Source organism: Homo sapiens, chromosome 17, assembly GCF_000001405.40.
Source record: "Homo sapiens chromosome 17, GRCh38.p14 Primary Assembly".
NCBI classification, from domain to species: Eukaryota; Metazoa; Chordata; class Mammalia; order Primates; family Hominidae; genus Homo; species Homo sapiens.
In genome coordinates, this window is record NC_000017.11 from 9,537,156 (window position 1) to 9,564,761 (window position 27,606).

Below are 27,606 nucleotides of genomic sequence, written 5' to 3' on the forward strand. Positions count from 1 at the left end.
GCAAGGCTGCACCAAAGCTATTTGTCTTTCCATCAAACTACCCAAAATAATTAGCGAGGCAGAGACAAAGCTGCATGCTTCACCAGGCCCTCCTCTTGAGTATACAGAAAGACTACATCCCCCAGCCGCCCTCAGAGCTAGGTTGGAGCCACGTGACTAGTTATGGCCAAGGGGCTGAGTGTGTGAAACTTGCAGGCCAAGGCATAGAAGACAGATGTGAGTTCTCCACACCCTCATTCTTCTCCAGTCACAGGGAACACGCACGCCTTGTGTCATGAGAGCACAGCCCAGAGATGGAAGCAACCTGAAGCTCGGAGTCACCTTTACGTGACAGACTTTACACGAGGCAGGCAAAAAAGCTTTCATGTATTAAAAGTGTGACATTCGCAGGTTTGTTAACACAGTCTATCACGTCCTGGCTCAATCTTTCTGTCAACAAACATGTGCTGAATCAACAACACACCTGCTGTATACCCAACTCTGGGCTGGATGTTACGGAAGATACAGAAAAGTGCATGAAGACGCTCATTCATTGAGCAATTACTTATTAAAAATTGTGCTAGGCTTTGGTCTCTGTCCTTGAGGTATTTAAAATATAGATCAAGAGACAAAATATACACTTGCAAAAGAGAAAAGCAGTTAAGTATTAACCATACAGTCTCCCTAGCTAAATCAGCTTCCTATTAATATGCTCTCAAAATACAATCTATTTTTTTGAACTTATTTTACTGATTGTATGATTCTTTATTTCATGTCTGTCTCTCTCCCTGGACTGTACATGGCTCAACTGCAAAAAGTAGGTGCTTTTGTAGTTTTGGTTTTACCACTACACTCCCAGTATCAGTGTATAGCACATAGTAGGCACTCAATAAAGATCTACTTAATGAAGGAAGGTTTGCTTTACCACATTTTTACTTCCTTACCTATTTTTCATTAAACTAGCAGGAAACTGTAATATTCTTGACTGTACTTAGTAACTCCTTGGGGTTCAACTGCCCCTACACTCACGTAGAGGACAAAGCAAATCTGTACTGATTTCAGCACACCCTTGCACATCAGAAAAGCTAGGACGTCACTGTATTTCAGGGACATACATAAAAGAGAGAAGGGGGTTTATGATATGGATGTATATTCCTTAGCAACTTCCTTCTTCTAGAAGAGTAGGTTGGTCACGTGGTAACAACATTAAGCAATGTGAAGTATAAATCAATGATTCTTTAGGAAATCTAAGTACTATGGGACATAAATCATCCTTCTTGTAAATCAACATTTAAATTGAAATAAAACATTCAACGGTTTCAAATGGGGAGGAGCATTTTTAATGTTAGAATTTAATGTAAATTTTTCTTTTGCCCATCTTGGCTACCGATATACTGATATGAAATACACATTGGAAATATCATGTTTTGTCAGTAGTGCAAGAGAAAAGCCTATCTCTAAAATTAAATTTAAAAATCTGCACTCTGAGAAAACGTAGACGTTTCATTATCATCTTCTTTTGATTTTAGCAATTGGTCTGCTTGTTAATATATCCTTCTTGACATACAACTACCACCTCAAACTCTAAACAACTTCCTATTCCCTATAATCCTCTACAGAGTTGGTGGTGTGAAGATTAAAGCTTAGCCAATTAGCCACCCACTGCAGCTGAGTTAATCACATAATCTTTGAGATGGTCACAGAGCAGTGGAGTATGCAATGGTTTTGGTTTTTTTTTTTCTCTTTACAGGCAAAGATTTAACTAATTGTGAGATTTAGCAATGCTCTCGAATATAAAGGGCGGGAGGGTTTTAAATCAGAAGCTGTGTCACTGCTTTATGAGACAGGGCTTATCTTCTTCTAAGAGACACTGTTGCACAGAGACTTCTTTAACAAGTTTCCAAATACCCTAAATTAGTCAACCATTGCTTATTTAGACCAAGGCTTACTGCTTTAGAATAATGACCAGTAATCCGTAAGGTAAAACTAAGATTCTGTCACATGACAGCTATACATTCAATTATGTGATTGCCACATTAATGTCTGTTTAAAGGAAATGCTAATCCAAACTGAAGTTTGACCATTCTTGACTCTCCTTAATAAGGCCACATATGAGGAAGAAGAGAAAAGAGGGAAAAGAGGGATGGAAAGGCCCTCGGGAATGAGGGATGGGGAAGAAAGAGAGGAAAAGAGCGTTGTGCAAAGTAAATGAAAAAGAGGGAAACAGAGGTAGGGGCTCTAGGAAGGGAGGCTCACCAGGTTCCAAGCGAGTCCTGGTAGGGTAAACAGATCTTGTGGCATTGCTGCCAGTTACTAGGGAAATGTTGATTAGCAGATTAACCCCAGTTCTCTAACAGTAAATGTGTTGTGGTCATGGTCTAGCATTCCTGACAAAATGTGCCATAGTGAGCACGTCTATAACATTTCAAAGTTCTGACAAGGCTTTCTGGCCACCATGCTTCTGGAAGTCATGAATTAAGGGAAAGACACCTACCCTCCACTCACAAAGTGACAAAGCAACCCAACTGACCCCCCCCACCCCAAAACCAAGAACTACAGAAGCAAAGAAAAATGCTGGAGGAATCCAGAGATTAGAGAAGCAAACGAAAATGTTGGAGGAGCCTAGAACTAGGAATTAACTGTAGAGAGGACTAAGGAAATCTCTGCAAGTCATTGGAGATACTACAGAAACCAACTGGCAGAGAAAGGAATGAGTTTCTCCAAAGATAGATAGAGCTGAGCGTTCCCTAAGAGTTGGTATTAGAAATGACTAGGCAACTGACAATCAGGAGGGAAGGGGATACAATCGAATTGTAATTGAACATGTCATATAATGAACAAGTCATGTTTACAACTGAATTAAAGTCCTTGGAAGGCTAGGTCCAACAAGAGAACTATTAGGTATGAGAAGTTGGGGAAAGAAGGGGAGGTCTCAAGGATGGGGATTAGGAGTAAAGAAGGCAAAAATAATACTCTTACATAGGCAGGTGAAGGAAATCAAACAACAGCAACTCTGACCTCAAATCTAAGAAAATCCACTTCCAGCAGTCCACTTCAGCTTTAGCATTCACTCCTCCATACACTTCTTGCTGGTCCTCGATAGGTCCACATGGTGCCATCTTCCCTGACTAGTTGGAGCAACGCTAGCTAGCTGGGTATTTGTTCTCATGGCCCTTGAGCAGATTTCCCGGGGACTTTTCTACATAGCTTATGAGAGTGCTTTTGTCTAGTATGAATTTTCTTATTGATCAGACTTCTCTGGAATGTCTACAGGACTTGCACTTTTTGGACAAGCATATGCGGACATGTTCCCGTTACGGTGTTGGGTCTAAAGCAATCCTAGCCCAACAAGGAATCACCAATGGAAGTGAATGAGAAATTCACCTTCCAGGCCACCGACATCATTCTCCTTCCTCTCTGTATCTGCAATGATTTTCTTTCTTCATGGTGCTCAATGTCCAGTCGCCACATTGGTTTCCCGCTCTTGGCCAGACTCCATGTCATCCAGAACGGACCATCATTGTGTGTTATGTCCACGTCTACCTTCTCCAAATCACTCCACAGGAGTCATTTCTCCTTGACAGTACTTACATTATTTTTAAACAGAATTCTTCTAGAACCTTATTCTGAACCATCCTAGACTTCTGGTCCTGAACAGAAAAGATACACCAATCTCTATGTTGCCCTTGGTTTCATCTTGAGAGCATGTAAATAAGTCTGGCCAGTAACTTTATTTCAACCCTCAGGGATTCAGTTACCTTTGCTTGACAGTGTCTCCCCAGTATGATCTCTGTCCCCATGCCACTCAGCCATTCACCAACACACCAACAAGCAACAGCTTTAGTCCACCACATGGATCAGCCTTATGGGCATGAAGAGCAGAAGGCAGTCCCAGTGGCAGGACCCAAGAGGTCCTCAGAAGGCCTCCATCCAAAAAAACCACCTGACACTAACCTGCCAAATTCCCTAAACATTCCCATCAACTAATTCACTGTGGTTTCAATCCTAGGGTTTAAGGAGGTTTCGGTGAAAATACCTCCAGAAGACAAGACATTGGCAGCCGTTGATTCCACTGCTAGAATTAACATGAGATTGTTCACTAATAAGACAATAGGCAGCAAGCTGGGCACGGAGGGAAGCAGACACGGAACAAATGAGATGTGGAAGAGGAGAATGGAGGGCAGAGGACCAGGTGCAGCGTATGATGGGGTCAGACAGACCACGTCCTTCTAGAGCAATCAGGGGGCAGGGCACGAGGGACAGAAGATCTCCGAAGCAATGAGGCAGCCTGAGTTCCCTCCTAGCCGGATGGAGACACAATGCTCCAGTAATAACATCTTGTATTTATAAAGGTCTTAGAGTTTACAAAGCCTGTCTCATAGCAATCACTTCATCTGGTCCTAACAACAACGAAAAATGGGCAGCACATGTATCCCCAGTCTAAGGTCAATGACTTCAAAGCCCACATGACTGACAGACTAGAAAGCTACAGAACTGGGTCCTTCTAACACCTCATCCAGCTCTTTTTATGGTGCAATGGTTACAAGTTCAGAGCTAAAATCCAAGTTCTATGACTGATTAGCTTTAGAATCTTGAACCCTCTGAGCCTGTTTCTCTTCTGCAAAATGGGGCATTATAAAGAGCTCCTGAGCAAATGCACATAAAGAGCTTAGCACAGTGCCTACCATATAAAAAACAAATAGCAGACATAAGCTATAGGTCTCATGACTAGTACACTGTGACATAGAGCAGTCGTTCTAACCCTGCCACCTACTAAAACCACCCGGTAGTCTCCCCAGCCTTACTGCTGCCCAGGCCTCACCCAAGACTATGAATCAGACTCTGCAAGTACATGGTCTAAACATTTGTATTTTTTTTTTTTTTTCCATTCTCTCTTGGGTGATTCTGATGCAAAGTGCCACGATTAAGAATAAATGACACAGGCCAGGTGTAGTGGCTCATGGCTGTAATCCCAGCGTTTTGGGAGGCTGAGGCAGGCAGATCACCTGAGGTCAGGAGTTCAAGACCAGCCTGGCCAACATGGTAAAACCTCATCTCTACCAAACATACAAAATTAGCCAGGCGTGGTAGTGCGTGCCTGTGATCCCAGCTACTCGGGAGGCTGAGGCAGGAGAATCACTTGAACTCGGGAGGCGGAGGTTGCAGCGAGCTGAAATTGTGCCACTGCACTCAAGCCTGGGTGACACAGCAAAACTCCGTCTCAAAAACAAAACAAACAAAAACAACAACAAAAAAACAAGGGCCGGGAGCTGTGGCTCACGCCTGTAATCCCAGCACTTTGGGAGGCCGAGGCAGGCAGATCACGAGGTCAGGAAATCGAGACCATCCTAGCTAACATGGTGAAACCCTGTCTCTACTAAAAATACAAAAAATTAGCCGGGCATGGTGGCGGGCGCCTGTAGTCCCAGCTACTCGGGAGGCTGAGGCAGGAGAGTGGTGTGAACCTGGGAGGCGGAGCTTGCAGTGAGCCAAGATTGCGCCACTGCACTCCAGCCTGGGCGACAGAGCAAGACTCCATCTCAAAAAATAAATAAATAAATAAATAAATAAATAAATAAGGAATAAATGATACAAAGCAGTTATTTCTTAAATTGTAATGTGCATTCAAATCACCTGATGATCTTGTTAGAATGCAAGTTTTAATTCTGTAGTTTGGGGTTCGGGTTGGAAAATTCTGAGTTTGTAACACACTGCCAGGTGATGCTGATGCTGCTTATCAGCAAGTCACACTGTAAAGGACACAGAGATGATCAGAGAAGAGGGGTGACAAAGGCAGGCAAGCGGGGACCAAAAACTAACAAAACAAACAAGGACCTGGTGGGAAGACTTCAGAGGTCCTCAGCCTAAATTCCTAGGTTGGCCCCTTCAGCATCATTAAGTGGCACAATTAATGAGAAGCAAAGAGCAGAGTCTGGTGCAAAACATGCTCTTCTCAAATGGGAACCATGACTATTCATCACGACTGCCTCATCACTACCAAGCAGAATAGTCTGAATGTTTTGTCCTCTTTCTGACCATCATCTGTCTACATGACCACTATTCCTCCATGAAACAAGCTCCCCGTCCTACCTATGTCCTTATTAATTTCTTGACTAAAAAGACTCTGCCTTCAGTGTAAAGCCCCTTCTAGAAGACAGTTTTTTGGTTTTTTTTTTTGAGACGGAGTCTTGCTCTGTCGCCCAGGCTGGAGTGCAGTGGCGTGATCTCGGCTCACTGCAACCTCCACCTCCCAGGTTCAAGCAATTCTCCTGCCTCAGCCTCCTGAGTAGCTGGGACTACAGGTGCCCGCCACCACAACGGCTACTTTTTTGTTGTTGTTGTTGTATTTTAGTAGAGATGGCATTTCACCTTGTTGCCCAGGCTGGTCTCAAACTCCTGAGCTCAGGCAATCCACCCACCTTGGCCTCCCAAAGTGCTAGGCTTACAGGCGTGAGCCACTGCACCCAGGCGACAGTACTTTCTTTTCACCTTTGATTCCTTTGCTCACCTGTTCTCTTTGACCAACCTGGACCACCACCTTCATCCACATACTTCACCCCTGTACCCTGGGACTGAATATGCCAGGGAAATATTGGGAACCACAGTAGATTGGCCCAGCACAGGCTTCTATCTTCATTTAAACCCTGCCCAGGAGACTGCCAACAGAGTATCACCCCTCCCTAACTGACTCTTAGGTTCATTTCTTCACAGAAGCAACTTAACATTTCATCTACCTTCCTGTATTTCACAGTTTCTTCATGGAACCTTGGATCGCCGCTCCTGAGAAGACTGGAACCCACAGGAAAATCAGTTTCATTTTCTTCAGCTTGTTCTAGGCAGTTGTTTGCAATCTGGGTTGTATATTAGAATCACCTGAGACCTCCCTGCCCCTCTGCCCCTCCACCGCAATCCCACTCTGGTTCACCTGTCAGAGGTGGAGTCTGACAATGCACGGCTAGGGTCCAAAACCACTGCCCTTGGGAAGCCACACTATTCCTAACTGGAAACCAACTAGAAACAAGCTCCTCTCCACGATAAATGCATCAACCCTAGCGTGGAAGATGAGGAGAGGCGGGTTTCCACCCAAGCTCATTGCCTTCTGTGATGGTTCCCACGATGAAGCTAAGGAAGTTCTAGAAACAGGGGGAGGCCAATTCTAAAGAGGTAGCAATTTACGGTTCATCAACCTCAGCCTTGGAAAGCCCGACCCGTCCTCCAGGTCTTCCAGCAGAACCGGGCTCAGAGCAGCTGTCAGCTCTTTGAAGTGTGAATCACTCACTGGCGAAGAATGGGGAGGAGGATCCAACTCCTTTGCCTCTGTGAGCCCCGGACCAGTCTTATTAGGACTCATGTTCTCAATATGCCAATTAAAAAAAAAAACAAAAAACTGCTTTGCCCACACAGAGAAGTAGTGACCTCAGGAGTTTAGAAGGCAGTTAACAAAGCAGAAAACTCAACCAAAGAATGCCAAAGAAATGTTCTGACTTCACCCACAGTCTCCCTTAGTATGTTCCACCCAAGATGGGATTCAGCTGAACATACCTGGTTTACTAAACCCAGAAAATTAACGAAAACTGGCCGGGCGCAGTGGCTCACACCTGTAATCCCAGCACTTTGGGAGGCCAAGGCGGGCGGATCACGAGGTCAGGAGATCGAGACCATCCTGACTAATACGGTGAAACCCCATCTCTACTAAAAATACAAAAAATTAGTCGGGCACGGTGGCGGTGGGCGCCTGTAATCCCAACTACTTGGGAGGCTGAGGCAGTAGAATGGTGGAAACCTGGGAGGTGGAGCTTGCAGAGAGCCAAGATCACGCCACTGCACTCCAGCCTGGGTGACAGAGCGAGACTCTGTCTCAAACAAACAAACAAAAATTAACGAAAACTAAATTGAGTAGAAAATTATAGTCAAACACCATAAATGAATAGAATAGATTTTGATTAATTCCTAAAGTAAGCCATTCAGGAAACAGCTGTAGTATCTGCAAAGAAGTCTTCGCCCACCAAGTAATCCCTGTAAATAAAAACATCCTACCTGATTAGATCTGGTTCGGCACCCTCATTCTTAAAGGATGCCAGAAGTAGTCTCTCTCGAGTTACAAGATCATCCAAGAGGTTCTGTCTTCGGTCCCCTTCAAGCTGTGTTCTGCAGATATCTTGTTAAGGTTCAATGGTGAATAAATGACCTCGTTTTAACTATTACATTATTAAGTTAGCTCTTCAAGTCAGTTGTGGCTTTTACAGACTGTAATCACTACTACCCAGAAGGGATGCGCACCACTCTTGCGTTTTTCCTGCTCTGACCTTCACCTTCACCAGGCCGTCAGGTAAAGGACCTTGGCAGGACCATCGCAGAGGCACTTATAAACACTGACGTGGATCATGACACAAGTTTTTCATTGAGAAATATACCAGGTAAATATTACTTTCCTCCCCGTGACCAAACTTATTTACTTATTTTTGAGACAGAGTCTCGCTCTGTCGCCCAGGCTGGAGTGCAATGGCGCGATCTCGGCCCACTGCAACCTCTGCCTCCCGGGTTCAAGCAGTTCTCCTGCCTCAGCCTCCCGAGTAGCTGGGCTTACAGACGTGCACCACCACAACCGGCTAAGTTTTGTATTTTTATTAGAGACGGGTTTTTGCCATGCTGGCCAGGCTGGTCTCGAACTCATGACCTCAGGTGATCTGCCTGCCTTGGCCTCCCAAAGTGCTGGAATTACAAGGCGTGAGTCACCACGCCCAGCCCCAGTGACCAAATTTAAATGACTTCTCCTGCCAATGGTGCAACCTGGCTCAGTGATTCCTTAGGTTTTGAGTTATATGTGTGTGTCAGTGTTCCAGGGCATTTTCCTACATATTAATACCCTAAGATGCTCTGTTTAAAAAAGTGGGGGCGCTGGGGGAGAGAAGTTCTCTATATTGCTCTCTTTCTTCCATGTTAATATCTATTAACACACCTAGGATATTTATAAAGTGCTACTTTATGCAACAGATTTGCTCTATAAATTGTTACCATCAGTTCACTATTTAAATACATTGCATGATTTGTAAAGAAAATTACAAAGAGAATCATTTTAATGTGTGAATCTAGCAAACACGCTAGACTAGGAGCCCCAGAGGCAGAGTTGTAGCCCTATTCCACTATCTATGCTCTTGAACCAGTTATTTCACCTTTTGGGATCTCTCTTTCTTTATATGTAACACTAAATAGTCTCTAACATCTTTTCCACAACAATTCATAAGTGATGGTTAAAAAAAAAAAACCAAACAACCATCCTTCTGGGAAATGTAGTCTTTGGAAAGAAACCTACAATTCACCAATAGGTGGACGAGAATGCGGCGCGTGCGCATGAAGCAAAAAGGGAAGTGGCGTCTGTCAACAACCGGCGCCACTTCCCTTGGACTAAGTACAAAGTTTTATATACTAGCTTTCTTGATGCAAACTACAAAAGTGGTTTTTTTTTTTTTTTTTTTTTTTTGGAGACGGAGCCTTGTTCTGTCTACAGGCTGGAGTGCAGTGGCGCGATCTCGGCTCACTGCAACCTCCGCCACCCGGGTTCAAGCGATTCTCCTGCCTCAGCCTCCTGAGTAGCTGGGACTACAGGCACGTGCCACCACGCGCAGCTAATTTTTTGTATTTTTGGTAGAGACAGGTTTTCACCATGTTGGCCAGGATGGTCTCGATCTCTTGACCTCATGATCCGTTCACCTCAGCCTCCCAAAGTGCTGGGATTACAGGTGTGAGCCAGTGCGCCCAGACACAAGTTTTTGTTTGTTTGTTTTTAGGCTGAACTGTGTCTATGTGTGTGGTATGTTAAGAAACACAGAAGGGCTGGACGCGGTGGCTCAACGCCTGTAATCCCAGCACTCTGGGAGGCTGAAGTGGGCGGATCACAAGGTCAAGAGATGGAAACCATCCTGGCAAACACGGTAAAACCCCGTCTCTACTAAAAATATAAAAACTAGCCAGGCGTGGTGGCGTGCGCCTGTAGTCCCAGCTACTCGGGAGGCTGAGGCAGGAAAATCGCTTGAACCCGGGAGGCGGAGGTTGCAGTGAGCCGAGATCGCGCCACTGCGCTCCAGCCTGGTGAAAGAGCGAGACTCTGTCTCAAAAAAAAAAAAAAAAAAAAGAAAAAAGAAACACAGTAAAGGATATGTTTGGAAACAACTTCTGCCATAAAATGAATGAGTGGAGAAAGCTAACAAACACTTTTAAAATATATCTGGCCAGGTGTGGTGGCTTACGCCTGTAATCCCAGCAGGTCAAGGCAGGTGGATCACGAGGTCAGGAGTTCGAGACCAGCCTGACCAATATGGTGAAACCCCATCTCTACTAAAAACACAAAAATTAGCTGGGCATGGTGGCGCACAATCGCAGCTACGCAGGAGGCTGAGGCAGGAGAATCACTTGAACCCGGGAGGCGGAGGTTGCAGTGAGCCGAGACTGTGCCACTGCACTCCAGCCTGGGTGACAGAGCAAGACTCCGTCTCAAAAAAAAAAAAGAAAAAAGAAAAGAAAAGAAAAGAAATACACACTAAAACAAGATACCACTTCCACCTATCAGATTAGGAAACTGAGAAGACAGTTTTGGAAAGGGACAAGGAACCAGACACTCTCATACATTCTTTCCTTTTCTTTTCTTTTCTTTTTTTTTTTTTTGTTTTGTTTTGTTAAGATGGAGTCTTGCTCTATCATCCCAGGCTGAAATGCAGTGTTGCAACCTTGGCTCACTGCAACCTCCACTACCTGGGTTCAAGCAATTCTCCTCTCAGCTCCCCAAGTAGCAGGGATTACAGGTGTCCACCACCACACCCAGCTAATTTTTGTGGGTTTTTTTGAGAGACAGGATTTCACCATGTTGGCCAGGCTGGTCTCAAACTCCTAATCTAAAGTGACCCTCCTGCCTCCCAAAGTGCTGGGATTACAAGCATGAGCCACTTCACCTGACCTTATACATTCTTTCTTTATTATTATTATTATTTTTTGAGACAGTGTCTCCCTCTGTCGCCCAGCCTGGAGTGCAGTGGCATGATCTTGGCTCACTGCAACCTCCAGCTCCAGAGTTTAAGCAATTCTCCTGCCTCAGCCTCCCAAGTAGCTGGGATTACATGCACATGCCACCATGCCCAGCTAATTTTTGTGTTTTCAGTAGAGATGGGGTTTCACCATGTTGTCCAGGCTGGTCTCGAACTCCTGACCTCAAGTGATCCACCCACCTCGGCCTCCCAAAGTGCTGGGATTACAGGCATGAGCCACCATACCCGGCCACCTCATACATTCTTGATAGGAATGCAAACAGGTTCAACCAACTGCTAGACTGCCTTCTAAATACCTAACAAAATATAAAAGGTACAGTCTTTCAACAGACATTTCTTCCTCAGATACAGTCCTACAAGGACTTAGAAGCAAGGATGTCCACTGAACCATTATTTATAATAGCCACATTGGAAATATCAATAAGTAACTAGTGTATGTAAACAATGGAATGTTTTGCAGCCTTAAAAAAAGAATAGGAAAGCTGTTTAGGGGGCTGATAATGATAATTAACATTTTTGAGCACTTACTAAGTGTTTACATGAATTATTTGACATGGAATAATCTACAAAATATAACATTAAACCAAAGGAGGGGAAAAAAACAGCAGCAGCAAGGAGCTAAACAGTGAGTAGTGTGCTCCCACTTTGTTAAAAAAAAATCCTAACTATATATGTGTGTATATACACACAGAAAATTTCTGATATATAAACATTGCCTCTAAGGAAGGACAACTGAGGATTAAGGGTATAAGAGAGACTGATGTTTCACTGAATATTGTTTCCTAATGTTTGTCTCTATCATCTGCTAATTAATAAAAACACAAGCTTCAGAACCATATGTATAATATAATCCCTTTATAGTCAAAGGAATTTTATGTTTACATATGCATATATTTCAAGCCTAGAAAAGTCTGAGATACTAGCTACCAACCATTAACACTTAACTATAAAGAATGAGATGAGACAGGATAGAATAAGGAAGAGAAAGAGGAGTCATTGGTAATAACTAATGAGAAATGTATCAGTAGAAAGTATAATATTTTTTGTAATAAAAACAATAAAGGTACATTTTAAAATCAGCAGATACTAGTTACAGATTTAAACTTACGTCAAGAAGGAGCTAACAAAGAACATCAGTTTCAGAAACAGTAAAACTTGATGACTATGTTTTGTAGATGAGTAACCAAAGAACAGAAACCCACACAGTTGATGCTAGAAGAGGCCTTAAAGATCCCAGTTCTCTTGTTTTGCTGACCAGAAATTAAGGGTGAGCATGGCTAAGTCACTTGCCTGGGTTAACAGCCATGCTAGGTGACAGCTCTTTCAACCCTAGCTCATGGCTTTTCCACCAAACATTCTGCAGACTTCTCCACCTTGAGATGCTGACTTAACTTTGCCACTTCTTAGAATCCTGATAAAAACAATACTGGGAGTACGAATTCAGAATATTCCCAGAGACTCTGTAAATCTGGAAAACAATCCAATTAGGAACATGCTGCCTCTTTGTTTTATATTTTAATCTACGGAGAGAACAGAGCATAAGGAGATGGGGAGGAGGGAGATGGAATGAGAATAAATTGATTAATGAACCATCTGCATAGCACCCTTGCTATGTAAGGGTTGTTATTAGTAAGAGGTCAAAGGATCATCCAGGAAACAATCTATACAGCATGTATGTGGACAGGTGCGTAGCAGTTGGGTAAAGTAGGGTAGTGGGGAAACAGTGTGCCTGAGTGATGCTAAGGACAAGTAGAAAGTAGGACACACAGGCCAAGCGCGGTGGCTCAAGCCTGTAATCCCAGCACTTTGGAAGGCTGAGGCAGGCGGATCATGAGGTCAGGAGTTCGAGACCAGCCTGGACAACACGGTGAAACCCCATCTGTACTAAAAAAATACAAAAATTAGCTGGGTGTGGTGGCACACGCCTGTAGTCCCAGCTACTCAGGAGGCTGAGGCAGGAGAATCGCTGGAACCCGGGAGGCAGAGGTTGCAGTGAGCCAAGATCGTGCCACTGCACTCCAGCCTGGGCAACAAAGTGAGACTCCATCTCAAAAAAAAAAAAAAGTAGTACAGCACACAGTCAGTGGCCAGTGCTGGGGAACCTCCTCTTCCACCAACCTGGTGAATAGCCAAGGAAGAAGATAAGAGAACAGACAGATAAAGAAAAGGAAGAGAAGAGCTAACTATCATAGTACTTTGTCCTTGGCTATGCTGATTGTACATGTAATTATAGCCAATTCATGGATATGTAAGGTTGTAAATAAAACTGGATCCCCTGTAGTCCCAGCTACTCGGGAGGCTAAGGCAGGAGAATGGCGTGAACCCGGGAGGTGGAGCTTGCAGTGAGCCAAGATCGTGCCACTGCACTCGAGCCTGGGTGACACAGCGAGACTCCATCTCAAAAAATAAATAAATAAAAATAAAAATAAAACTGGATCCTGATTTCATATTACTGATACCTACTACCAGCATGCATAAGTCCAGCTTCTCTGCTGTAGCCTGGTGAGCATTTGAACCACAGATGGAGCGGGGTAAATATGCAACTGGATCCACAGGTCACCCAATCCCACTCCAGCTCCTGGATTTTCTCTTATATTTGGTAGAAGGCTTAAGAATTTAGGCTGGGCACAGTCGCTCACACCTGTAATCCCAGCACTTTGGGATGTTGAGGTGGGTGAATCACCTGAGGTCAGGAGTTTGAGACCAGCCTGGCCAACATGGCAAAACCCCATCTCTACCAAAAACACAAAAATTAGCCAGGTGTAGTGGTGCACACCTGTAATCCCAGGTACTTGGGAGGCTGGGGTAGGAGAATCGCTTGAACCTGTGAGGCGGTGGTTGCAGTGAGCTGAGATCGCACCATTGTGCTCCAGACTGGGCAACAAGAGTGAAACTCCGTCTCAAAAAAAAATAGAATTTAGGTAAGCCTTATTTTGTGAAAGAGCTGCTCTGGCGAAGGAAGAAGTTTGCAGATAATTAATTCTCCATGCCAAAAAAGAAGAACTGCAAGGGAACAGTTTAAGGTTCTAGAGGTCAAAAGACTTTTCTGGCTTTCTTTTTTTAAGTCAACAAACTCTAATAAATATTTATGATGTACCAGGCCAAGTCCTTACCTTCCTCAAAGCACTGATCACATTTTGCAAGTACTATTTTAATACCATCATTGTTTGTGAGTTTTGACATAACCATCATGCATGATTAAAAACTCCACAAAGAAAGGATGACCTGTAAATTCTCAATGGTAGCTGAAATCTTTACAATAATGATAAAATAATCAATAGCAGCTAATCCTCAAGGAGGACTTAGTATATGTGAAGCACCCTGTATGCATATAATCTCATCCTTACACAACAATCCTTTACGCCAGGTGGACTTCTAGCATCCCATTCCACAAATGAGGCACAAAGAGGTTAAGTAACTTCCCCAGGGGTGTTGGTAACCACCTTTTATTCAACACCCACCATTATGGGGGGCTAGTCCTGTGAAGAAAAAAGATTTTCTTCAACTTGTACAATAACCTGGCAAAGTATGATTATTCCTACATTACAGATAATGAAACTAAGGTCCAGAAAAGCTGAACTGCTGTTTGGCCTTGGTAAGTGGCAGAGCTGGTCTTCAATCTCAGTTCTGTCTGCTTTCAGAGCCGATGTTGTTCCCACGATACCAATGGCACCTAGACATTCAGGTTTCGTGGACCAGTAATATGTCCAAAAAAACTAGGGGGGGGTGTAACTTATATAGAATTACCAATTATACATTTTGCCAGGTATGGATGTTCAAGAAAAAAAAAAAGAAACAAAACTATCTACTTTTACTATCATGGTGAAAAAGCAAGGAGATTTTAACACCAAAAACTAGAAAGAACCATGTAACAGTTCTGTATAAATCAGAAAACAGGCTTGATATGGTGGCTCACACCAGTAATCCAAACATTTTGCAGGCCAAGGTGGAGGATCGCTTGAGACTAGAAGTTCGAGACCAGCCTGGGCAACATGGCGAGACCCCATCTCTACAAAAAATTAGCTGGGCATGGTGGCATACACCTGGACCCCTAGCTACTTGGGAGGCTGAGGCAGGAGGATCTCTTGAGGCCAGGAATTTGAGGCTGCACTGAGCTAGGATTTTGCCACTGCCCCCCATCCTAGGCAACACAGTGAGATCCTGTCTTTAAAAAGTCAGAAAAAAAGTTCTTATAAATCAAAAAACTTCTGCTACACAAACACTATCTTCTTCTTATTTTTCTCATGTTACCAAGTATCAGTGAAAACCAATAGACAGGGACAGTGTTTGAAAACCACTTCACCTCCACTGTAGCTACCAGGGGTTACCTGTAAAATCTGTTCAGTCAGCCTCTCCACAACCACATCCATTGGGGTTTGTTATGTAGTAATCACCACATCTGTCTATGCACTTATCTATCTACTTACCTATCTTTGTTTTTCCAAAAAATAGAGTAGAGAAAATTTATTTATAGATTTTTCTTTTTTTTTTTTTTTTGAGACGGAGTCTCGCTCTTTTGCCCAGACTGGAGTGCAGTGGCGCGATCTCGGCTCACTGCAAGCTCCGCATCCCGGGTTCACGCCATTCTCCTGCCTCAGCCTCCCGAGTAGCTGGGACTACAGGCGCCCGCCACCACGCCCGGCTAATTTTTTTTGTATTTTTAGTAGAGACGGGGTTTCACCATGTTAGCCAGGATGGTCTCGATCTCCTGACCTCGTGATCCGCACGCCTCGGCCTCCCAAAGTGCCTGGGATGAGAAAATTTATTTATAGATTTTTAAAACTTATTTCCAAAGGCCTTCTCCCAAGACACCAAAGTACTTTTTGACATCAAACCCCTCTGTAAAGAGATTTTCTTTATTCTCTTTAAAATAAGTAAAGGTGCTGCCTCCTGTGAAATGCCAACAAAAGGATAAGTTTCATGTGAAGCCAACTCTAAGAAGATGGTACTAAGTATCTTTAGTACTATCTGGAATTTCATATGCAGCCTCCCACAGCATAACCCTCTTCTCAGCTGGTAAGACAATTATAGTTCCTATCTCAAAGAAACACTGTGAACAGATGTTAAGGTCTTTCAGAAATTTAAACTCTCTGACTGCAAGACTTCGGTTTATTAATTGCACGCTAATGGATTCAAAAGCACAGAACTTCCATTTTAACTTGACTTTTATTCTTGCCAGGAGAAAAATACTTTTTCAGGAGAGAGCATAACATCTCATGCCTTAATTCCATGAATTTCATTGTTTAGAAAGCATTTGCACAGGACTTTTCTGGCAACTCCTAGTGTTCTTTGGACAAGTTCACAAGTGTAGAAAGGCATCAATTTATTAAGTATCATAAATTCTCAACTATCCAGCACAGTAAGGAAATGTGGTATTCAAATATTCACATTAAAAAAGTCACCAAACATTAATTATGCCTCAAAAAAAGGATTAAAAAGTCACTCCATTGGTGATTTATGAACAAACATTTTTCTCAACATCATAAAGTATACCTAATAAACCACAATGAACACTGTTTAATCTTCGGATGGTTAAGACGGTTCTTGAAGATTTGTATTATAAACAAGATTTGTCTTGGCAGTCCAGTAACACAACAATTCATAGAGAATTCTAGTTGAAGACATGCCAGGTGACAGCTGACTGTATTATTTCTACTAAAGTATAATTCAGCTTTTAAACAATTCACGTTGGGGCCACACAGCCTGTGTTTGAACCTGGCTCTTCCATTTCCTAGTTGTGGGGTCCTGGGTAATGACTAAAGCTCTCCAAGAATCCTCTCCTCAGTGTAGAAAACTCCTCTGCTGGGGCCGGGCACAGTGGCTCATGCCTGTAATCTCAGCACTTTGGGAGACCAAAGCGGGTGCATCATGAGGTCAGGAGTTCGAGACCAGCTTAGACAACATGATGAAACCCCGTCTCTACTAAAAATATAAAAATTAGCCGGGCATGGTGGCACATGCCTGTAATCCCAGCTACTCGGGAGGCTGAGGCAGGAGAATCGCTTGAACTTGGGAAGCGGAGGTTGCGGTGAGCCGAGATTGTGCCACTGAACTCTAGCCTGGGTGACAGAGCGAGACTCTGTCTAAAACAAACAAACAAACAAAAACAAAAAACAAACAAACCAACAAACCTCCTCTGCTGGAATTCCGGGTTATCTCTCCAACTTCATCAGTGACTTTCGGTGTAAAGTTTAACTTGGCCTCAGTATCTTTCTTTGTAAAGAAGAGAAGGAAGCACCAAAAAAATCTAATAATATGAGATTATTAGGACTCATAGATTGCTATCTATCTTAAATCTGGAAGATAACTGCCAGAGAATTATTTTAAATGTTTGGGAAGAAGAAGGAGGTTAGGGGAAGGGAAGATGGGAGGAACAGAAGGAGAATTAAAAAGAGGCCTTCATAATATACAAGCTACCTCCTTTCCCTTACATCAAAAGTGGCCTCCGTGGCCAGGCGCAGTGGCTCACGCCTGTAATCCCAGCACTTTGGGAGGCTGAGGAGGGTGGATCACCTGAGGTCAGGAGTTCAAGACCAGCCTGGCCAACATAGTGAAACCTTGTCTCTACTAAAAATACAAAAATTATCTGGGCGCAGTGGCGTGTGCCTGTAATCCCAGCTACTCAGGAGGTTGAGGCAGGAAAATCGCTTGAACCCAGGAGGTGGAGGTTGCAGTGAGCTGAGATCGTGCCACTGCACTCCAGTCTGGGCGACAGAGCAAGACTCCATCTCAAAAAAAAAAAAAAAAAAAAAGTTGGCCTCCCTGAAAATAAACAGGTTTATGAGCGCCCTCATGGGGTGGATTAGCTAAATGCCATCCCTAGTACTGGCTGCAGGTTGTTACAGTAGAAATAGATCAATTATTTGAAAAAATAAATAGAATTTTAAAGAAAGTTGTTGTATTCCAGTTGAATTTTTGATGTCTCCTGGTAAATTCTAAATTATCCACATTAAGACCCCTAAATATTTTTGTAATGTTTTAAATAACTCTTGTTCAGTGTTTTTGATGCTTACTGCTTAATTCAGTAATTTGGGAAGTAATTCTGGGACGACCACAAAACCAAAAATCTGCAAGATTTCAACAGATGGTCAGACTGTAAGCATTTAGGAGAACAAAGTCAATTATAACTGTGGTATTCTTAGTACTCTCTAATAACTAGCAGAAATTATTATTAATAGAAAAAAGTAAAAGCTCTTAATTTGTATATTTTTCTTGCCCTATAGGGTTAGCACATAAATAAGGTGACTAATAATGTTACCTTAATGGAAGCAAATGCATATTATATCATGAAACAATATGTAGTTACCTTTCTAATATATGTGTTTTAGGTAACACTAACATGAATTTACACACCTTGCCATGTGTAGACTTCCCAGTGCTTAGTACCGAAAGCAGAGGAAACAGTCCTGCCCATCTGAAACTACTAAAAATACAAAAATTGGGCCGGGCGCGGTGGCTCACGCCTGTAATCCCACCACTTTGGGAGGCTGAGGCGGGCGGATTACGAGGTCAGGAGTTCGAGACCATCCTAGCTAACATGGTGAAACCCCGTCTCTACTAAAAATACAAAAAATTAGCCAGGCGAGGTGGCAGGCACCTGTAGTCCCAGCTACTTGGGAGGTGGAGGCAGGAGAATGGCATGAACCCGGGAGGCAGAGCTTGCAGTGAGCTGAGATCGCACCGCTGCACTCCAGCCTGGGCAACAGAGCAAGACTCCGTCTCAAAAAAAAAAAAAAAAATTAGCTGGGCACAATGGTGCAGTGAGTATATTAGGACTTGTTGATTTGGGTAAAATAAAAACCCTTTATATGATAGACCAACTGTGCTGTAACAAATTACACCAGATGGAAGGTAAAGTATCTCAGAATATTCCAATTGCGTTAAAAATAAGGCTGTAATTGTTTGAAATTAAACTTTTATTTGAAACCTTAGTGGATCCGTAATTGAATGTCTAGAAAACCATGCAACTAAGCCAACTTTCCTGGTGATATAAAGGTGTTACAATGGGGGAAAATATTTTTTAGAACACTTTCCATTTTTTTATCTAAAAAGCTGTATTCCTGTATTTCCTTATATTTAAAATCTGGCAATATCCATTCCCTGAAATACCAAAAATTGGGTCTTTGGCATGACCTACTGACAATTTAGAGAAATGATGAGAGAAGACCAGTTTCAGGTAAGTTTTCAAACCAATATACACTTGGGTGTAAAAAGTTAGTGTAGGTAACAAGTCACGTATATTTTCCTAAATTGATCAGATTATGAATTTCTCTTTTTTTATTATTTGAGACAGGGTCACACTCTGTTGCCCAAGCTGGAGTGCTTTGGCACGATCTCGGCTCACTGCAACCTCCGCCTCCCAGGTTCAAGTGATTCTCCTGCCTCAACCTCCTGAGTAGCTGGGAGTACAGGCGTGCACCACCACGCCCAGCTAATTTTTATATTTTCAGTAGAGATGGGGTTTCACCATGTTGACCAGGCTGGTCTCGAACTCCTGGCCTCAAGTGCTTGGCCTCCCAAAGTGCTGGGATTATAGGCGTGAACCATTGCACCTGGCCCAGATTATGAATTTCTAAAATATATATATATATATATATATATATATATATATATATATATATACACATACATATATATATATATATATTTTAACACTTGGTAGGAGGTTAAGATGATGGCATAACTTGCTTCAAGAAGTCCCATCCCACCCCTTCCCCTCACACTCCCATACTAGAGGCAGTGTCTGTGCCTCTGGAGGAAAAATAAGGCACATCTCAAATCTACATAAACACGGGGCAGGTGGTGAGAGGAGAGATGTATGGTTTCTACTGGTATTGCCCACTCCGAAAATAAATGGATCATTAAAAACTCTGGAAACTCCCAGAAGCGGAATCACAGCTTAGGATGATCATGGAAGTTTTCCTGTTGGAGCAGTAGCTAGCCATGGTCAAGGCGGTCTAGACAGAGAGCAGTGTGGGGCTCCGTAAATACCGCACTGACGGAAAACATTAGCTTCCTGAACTGTACAGGTTATACCCAAATAAGTTAATTCCCTCGGTAGGTCTTGCTTTGCCAGCATATTCACTGTAAAACATGTAACAGACACTTAAAATAGAAATCAAGATTACAGGCAATATTTTGGAAACCAGGTCTTCCTCAAGCTGTGGGAAAATCTGGGTGGCCCAGATTCCTTCCTTTCTTAAAATACGACTGCTTTTCCTCCCACTCTAGAAAAGAGGTGGAAATGTTTACATGGATACATCTGATGTGTTGACACAGCTCTTAGCAATAAGTCCTTCAAAAGGGCGATCTTTTCCTTCAGGTTCTGCAACAAAGCTCTGATTGTCACGGTAAGCTGAAAAGAAAAGAACACATCCTAAGTATTCTAGTCCAGAATGTAGAATCCACAAAATTACATCACGTAAACACTACTTCACGGGCTATGATGCAACCAAGCAAGGGCTGGAAGAGATAGATACTCAGCCCCTCACGACAAACTCAGGGCTGGAAGGAGGCTCAGTGGTGCCCTGGCCCAGCTGCCAACCTACAGCTTGTACCCGCTCCACAACCTGGCCAAGTGGTGAGCCAAGCCAGACTGGAACCCCGATACTGACTAGAAACTGTCAGTGTGCTCTCACCATCAGCTGAATCCTGTCACCTGAGCTTCTACCCCATTGATCCTATGTATCTACCTTGGAACCACGCAGGAAATTGTGTTCCCCGAGTCTTCATTTGAGAGCAAAAACCCACAGTTCTCTGAACCAGGCTTCAAACGACAAAGCATGGAGTCCCATTACCATCCCCACCAGGCTCTCTGAACAACTGGTAAAATTTATAACCCAATGAAACGTTTTACGGCAATGTGTTCTTTTTATGCAAGAGGAATGCTAACCACACATGACTCTTTTCCCAGGAGGGTGCGCATTTTCTCCAATCATCCTACAGGAAATTTTTGTCCGTGACTCTAACCTGTTACATTAAAGGATGGAGAAGAGGGCGAGAAGAGAGTCTCTCAGGAATTTGGAAATGTGAAAAAACTGCCTGTGTAAGTTAAAACATATTCAACCACGGATGAAATCAGACATATGTTAAAAACACAGAATACCACAGGTTTCCTTTGCTACCTTGTCAAAAGCAGCAATTATATAACTCAAGCGGACTCCCTCCTTGGATTTGCAGAATCACACCAAGGAAAACCAGCCAGTGTGTCAGAGACTGGCCCAGACTGCACACATCCAGCAGCCCTCCAAGGCACCAGCAGCCAAGAAAAGTCTAACCTGAACTATCCCCATACCCCTGGGAACCAAGGAACAATCACCTACAATGTTGTGGGGAAACACCAAGGAAAGCAGATCTCTCTACACTCAAAGAGAAAAGAGCGGCCGGGCGCGGTGGCTCACGCCTGTAATCCCAGCACTTTGGGAGGCCGAGGAGGGTGGATCACAAGGTCAGGAGATCCAGACGACGGTGAAACCCCGTCTCTACTAAAAATACAAAAAATTAGCTGGGCGCGGTGGCGGGCGCCTGTAGTCCCAGCTACGCGGGAGGCTGAGGCAGGAGAACGGCGTGAACCCTGGAGGCGGAGCTTGCAGTGAGCCGAGATCGCGCCACTGCACTCCAGCCTGGGCGACAGAGCGAGACTCCGTCTCAAAAAAAAAAAAAAGATAAAAGGGCAAAACAAGCAAACAAAAAGGCGCCACACACACCAGGCCTACGAAGAGGAGTCCACAAAATCAAAGACAAAAGCATTTGGGAGATGAAAGACGGAGTATGTAGCCATTAAAAATTATGGCTCAAATCTCTATTTGTTCACATAGAAAGATATCCATCACAGCTTATGAAAAAAACATCAAGTCATAAAATAAAATATCACCCAAACAGAGAAAAAACAACCCAGGAACTAAATACAAACATTGAAACCATGAAAGCACCATGGTTCTATCTAAGTAGTGGGATTTTCTAATATTTTATAAGAAAATGATCACTTTTGTAATCAGGAAAAAATGTCATTATCATAATTAAAGACACTTTCTAGAGCACAAAAAAAGATGGAAAGCCTAATTCACATTTTAAGCTACCATAACCTGGGTAACAAGCACTGACAGAGATAACCACATGTCAATCTTACTTAGGAATTATAAATGTAAAAATCTTTTCAAAAAATATTAGCAAAGCAAATTCAGAATTACATTAAAAAGGACCATATACTATCAACAAGTAGAAATTATTCTAGTAATTTAAGAACAGTTTGATGTTAGAAAAATCTAGTAATAAAGCTCATGGTGTTAATAATTAAAAACAGAATAAACATATGATTAGTACAGTACAGGGGAAATTATAAACAAAAGAAACACAAAAAAGAAAGAAAAACTAAGAATAGAACACTACTGCCTTAACTACAATATTATTTAACTTTGCTCTAGAAGTTCTAACCAATACAATAAGAAAAATTAAAGAAAAATACAAGGACTACAAGGAAAGATGAGATTATTATTATTTGCAGATTGATAATAGTCTACTTGGAAGAGTTAAGAGAATCAACTGAAAGATTATTATTATTTTATATATATATATATATATATATATATTTTTTTTTTTTTTTTTTTTGAGACAGAGTCTTGCTCTGTTGCCCAGGCTGGAGTGCAATGGAGTGATCTCAGCTCACTACAACCTCCGCCTCCCGTTTTAAGCGAGTCTCCTGCCTCAGCCTCCTGAGTAGCTGGGACTACAGGCACCCACCACCATGCCCAGCTAATTTTTGTATTTTTAGTAGAGACAGAGTTTCACCATATTGGTCAGGCTGGTCTCGAACTCCTGACCTCAGGTGATCCACCCACCTCAGCCTCCCAAAATGCTGGGATTACAGGCATGAGCCACCGCGCCCAGACTGAAAGATTATTAAAAACAGTAGAGGCCGGGCTGAAAGACTATTAAAAACAGTAGAGGCCAGGTGTGGTGGCTCACACCTGTAATCACAGCACTTTGGGAGGCAGAGGTGGGAGAATCACGAGGTCAGGAGTTCAAAACCAGCCTGGCCAACATGGTGAAACCCTGTCACTACTAAAAATACAAAAATTAGCTGGGCATGGTGGTGCGCACCTGTAATCTCAGTTACTGGGGAGGCTGAGGCAGGAGAATGGCTTGAACCCAGGAAGCGGAGGTTGCAGTGAGCAAAGATGATGCCACTGTATTCCAGCCTGGGCGACAGAGCAAGACTCCATCTCAAAAAAAAAAAAAAAAAACGGTAGAAGAATTCAATATGGTCATTAGTCATAAAGTGAAAAAAAATCAAGGGCATTCCTAAATTTAAGTAATACCTAGGGAGAGTTTTTTAAATTGTTATTTTAAAACTTCATTAACAATACCAACAAAATCTAAAAAATATCTAGCACAGTGCCTGGCACATAGTTAACTGTGCAATAAATACTGCTGAAGAAACAAAAGGAAACGCTCAATATTGTGAAAATGTAAGTTTTCCCCAATTTAAATCTATAAACATACATGTCTACTTGAAATTCCATTTGGAATTCTTTTATTGCAGAAGAGGTGATAATTAAGGCACAGCACAGTTTGGTTTTTTTTTTTTTAAATGAAGTTTTAGAAAATTACTCTGACAGAAGGATAAATGAAGGAAAATAAAAACCATGAATATGTATAATGTTCATAGGGGCCTTAATCAGATATAAAGTGATTACAAAAAACTACAATAGCTGATGCTGGCAATCACCAACAGCTTCAGTAGTGCAACATAACAAATGGCCCAGAAACAATGTAGCTGTATAAAAATCCAGTGAATTAAATATGAACTATTTCATATGAGGGAAAGAAATTCATAATTTAACAAATGGGGAAAAAATAAAATTAGATAGCTATGACACACCAAAGTAAACACCAAGTATTTCAAAGATTTACACACACAAAACAAAATAACAGAAAAAAAGCTTAAGGAAAATTTACATAATTAAGTATTTATAAAACCTCTGCATGTAAAAGGCCTTTTTAAGCATGATATCCCCTCCCCCGTTAGAAAAGATCACCAACAAACATGCTGATAATTTCAAATAAAATTTAAAAACCGGTACATGTTTTACAATGTCACTTACAAAATCAAGTTAATAGAGAAAGCATTTATACTAAATATACCAGATCAAAGCTTAATATAGTTAACATATATAAAAAGAAAACTTTGAAATTAAGAAACAAGGCTGAGCACGGTGGGTCACGCTTGTAATCCCAGCACTTTGGGAGGCCAAGGCAGGAGGATCTCTTGAGACCAAGAGTTTGAGACCAGCCTAGCCAACATGGTGAAACCTCATCTCTACTAAAAATACAATAATTAGCCAGGCGTGGTGGCGGGTGCCTGTAATCCCAGCTACTTGGGACGCTGTGGCAGGAGAATCGCTTGAACCTGGGAGGCTCGGAGGTTGCAGTGAGCCGAGATTGTGCCATTGCACTCCAGCCTAGGCAACAAAAGCAAAACTCCATCTGGCCAAAAAAAAAAAAAAAAAAAAAAGAATAGATATTCAAGACTTAATAAAAAATGCATATTAAACTACTGTAACATAGTATTTTTACCTAGTAGAGATTTTTTTAAAAGATAATCAAAATTGGTGTAGAAATGTCATTCTGCAATATATGTGTTCAAAAGGCTTAAAATGTTATACAACCCAAATCCAGAAAGTCTACATTGAAGAATTTATTTCAACATGGGCAATAATTTGGCTATACTGAAAAATCATTTGTAATTAGAAAGAATCTAACTGTCCAAGAAGATGACACTAGTTAAATAGATAGCAGCCCTTCGTGTAAAAGATGAAACCATATATTTAATAGAAGAAAGCAGGAATAAATTTTTTATAACCTGCAAACAGCAAAAACTTAGATATGACTAAATATATGGAAGCAATTAGATTGACAGCCAACTTCATTTAAAAAAAAAAAAACTTTCGGCCGGGCGCAGTGGCTCACGCCTGTAATCCCAGCACTTTGGGAGGCTGAGGCAGGCGGATCACAAGGTCAGGAGATCGAGATCATCCTGGCTAATACGGTGAAACCCCGTCTCTACTAAAAATACAAAAAAAAATTAGCCGGGCATGGTGGCGGGCGCCTGTAGCCCCAGCTACTTGGGAGGCTGAGGCAGGAGAATGGCGTGAACCCGGGAGGCGGAGCTTGAAGTGAGCCGAGATCGCGCCACCGCACTCCAGCCTGGGCGACAGAGCGAGACTCCGTCTCAGGAAAAAAAAAAAAAAACTTTCACACGACAAAACTACCACAAGCAAGTCAAATGTCAAATGATAAAGGAAAGGAAATAACTACAATTTATCACGAGGAGCTAATCTCCATAATACGTGAGGAGCTCTTAAAAGATCAAGACTAAAAAGGCTAATAATCCAGTAGAAAAATGGGCAAAAGACAAGACAGTTCACAGAAAAAAAAAAAAATATATATATATATATATGGCCCTTAAGCATATGAAAACACACTCCACTTGACTCATTATATGAGAAATACAAATTTAAAACGACACTGAAACACCATTTCTCACTTATGAGGTTAACAAAAATTCAGAAGATTCACACACCCTCTGTTGGCCAGGCTGTGAAGAAACAGAAGTGCTCACACATTGCTGGTGGGGTGGCAAGAGTGACAACCCCTTTGAGGGGGGATTTCACATCAGGTTAAAAAAAAAATTACATATGCCCTGGTTCTGAGAACTCACCTTTAAAAGACACCTATGCACATAATTTTTTTAAAGGACAAGGTTATTTACTGCGGTGTTATTCACAACTCAAGACTGGAAGCAATTTAACTGCCTTTCCTTAGGAGACAGGTTAAATAAAGAATGTTACATCTACGCAATAGAGTACCCATACAGCGCTAAAGAAGAACAAGGAATATGAAATGAAATGTAGAGGTTTCTATATTATTAAGTGAAAAGACCAAGATACAAAAGAGTATCTGTCATTCATTCATTCATCCATTTATTTATTTATTTATTTATTTATTTATTTATTTATTTATTTATTGAGACAGAGTTTCATTCTTGTCACCCAGGATGGAGTGCAGTGGCACGATCTCGGCTCGCTGTAACCTCCGCCTCCTGAGTTCAAGTGATTCTCCTGCCTCAGCCTCCCGAGTAGCTGGGATTACAGGTGCTCGCCACCACACCCGGCTAATGTTTTGTATTTTTAGTAGAGACGGGGTTTCACCATGTTGGCCAGGCTTGTCCCAAACTCCTGACCTCAGGTGATCCACCCGCCTAGGCCTCCCAAAGTGCTGGGATTACAGGCGTGAGTCACCGCGCCTGGCCCGAAAGAGTATCTTTTATATAAAAGGAAAAACATAACACACAGACACACAGAGACACACACATACACACGCATAGAGGCTTATTTCTGCATAAAGTAACACAGGAAGAATAAACCAGAAATTAATGAAAATGGTTATTTAGAAGAAGTAGGTTAAGAAAAGGTAGAAAAGAGAGGAATGGGAACAAGACTTTGAGTGTCACTTTTATATAATTTTGACTTCTGAACAATGTAAATGTTTTACTTATTTAAAATTAAATTAAAAAGTTGGAAAAAGCAACTCCTGAAAATGAATAAAAACAGAAACAAAGGATAACATAAGACAGAAAAAAAAAGAATCAATTATTGCAAAAGTCCTCAAAAAAATACTGGCAAACCGAATCCAGCAGCACATCAAAAAGCTTATCCACCACGATCAAGTAGGCTTTATCCCTGGGATGCAAGGTTGGTTCAACATATGCAAAACAAAAAATGTGTTTCATCACACAAACTGAAATAAGACAAAACTTACATGATTATCTCAATAGAAGCAGGAAAGGCTTTTGATAAAATTCAACACCACTTCACGTTAAAAACACTCAATAAACTAGGTATTCAAGGAACATACCTCAAAATAATAAGAGCCATCTATGACAAACCCACAGCCAACATCATACTGAATGGGCAAAATCTGGCAGCATTCCACTTGAAAACTGGCACAAGACAAGGATGCCCTCTGCTACCACTCCTATTCAACATAGTATTGGAAGTCCTGACCAGGGCAGTTAGGCAGGAGAAAAAGAGGAGAGGAGAGGAGAAAAGAGGTGAGAAAGGAAAGGAAAAAGGAAAGGGAAGGGAGAGAAAGAGAGAAAGGAAGGAAAAGAAAGAAAAGAAAGAGAGAGAGGAAGGAAGGAAGGAAAAGAAAAGGCATCCAAATAGGAAGAGAGGAAATCAAACTATTCCTGTTTGCAGACAACATGATCCTATATCTAGGAAATCTCATACTCCCAGTCCAAAAGCTCATTAAGCTTATAAACAACTTCAGCAAAGTCTCAGGATACAAAATCAAAGTGCAAAACATCACTAACATTCCTGTACACCAACAGTCAAGCCAAGGGCCAAATCAGGAATGCACTCCTATTTACAATTGCCAACAGAAAATAAAATACCTAGGAAGACAGCTAACCATGAGGTAAAGATCTCTACAAGAAGAACTACAAAACACTGCTCAAAGAAATCAGAGATGACACAAACAAATGGAAAAACATTCCATGCTCATGGACAGCAAGAAGCAATATCGT

General features: G+C 42.1%; 1 protein-coding gene across 4 annotated transcripts in view; it reads right to left on the reverse strand.

Moving 5' to 3' along the window:
* The window catches only part of STX8 (syntaxin 8), a 325,350-nt gene that overhangs the window by 286,685 nt on the left and 11,059 nt on the right, over positions 1-27,606 (reverse strand). For 2 of the 4 annotated variants that reach the window (XR_934120.3, NM_004853.3), the window contains exons 3-4: positions 20,279-20,373; positions 8,017-8,127 (exon numbers count right to left, since the gene is read on the reverse strand). The exons of the other annotated variants lie outside the window; for them this stretch is intronic. Coding sequence is in view for 1 of the 2 variants with exons in the window: in NM_004853.3 (NP_004844.1) it covers positions 8,017-8,127; positions 20,279-20,373 (206 nt within the window). In the remaining variant the exon portion in view is untranslated. The remainder of the gene's footprint in view (positions 1-8,016; positions 8,128-20,278; positions 20,374-27,606) is intronic. 4 annotated transcript variants of the gene reach the window in all.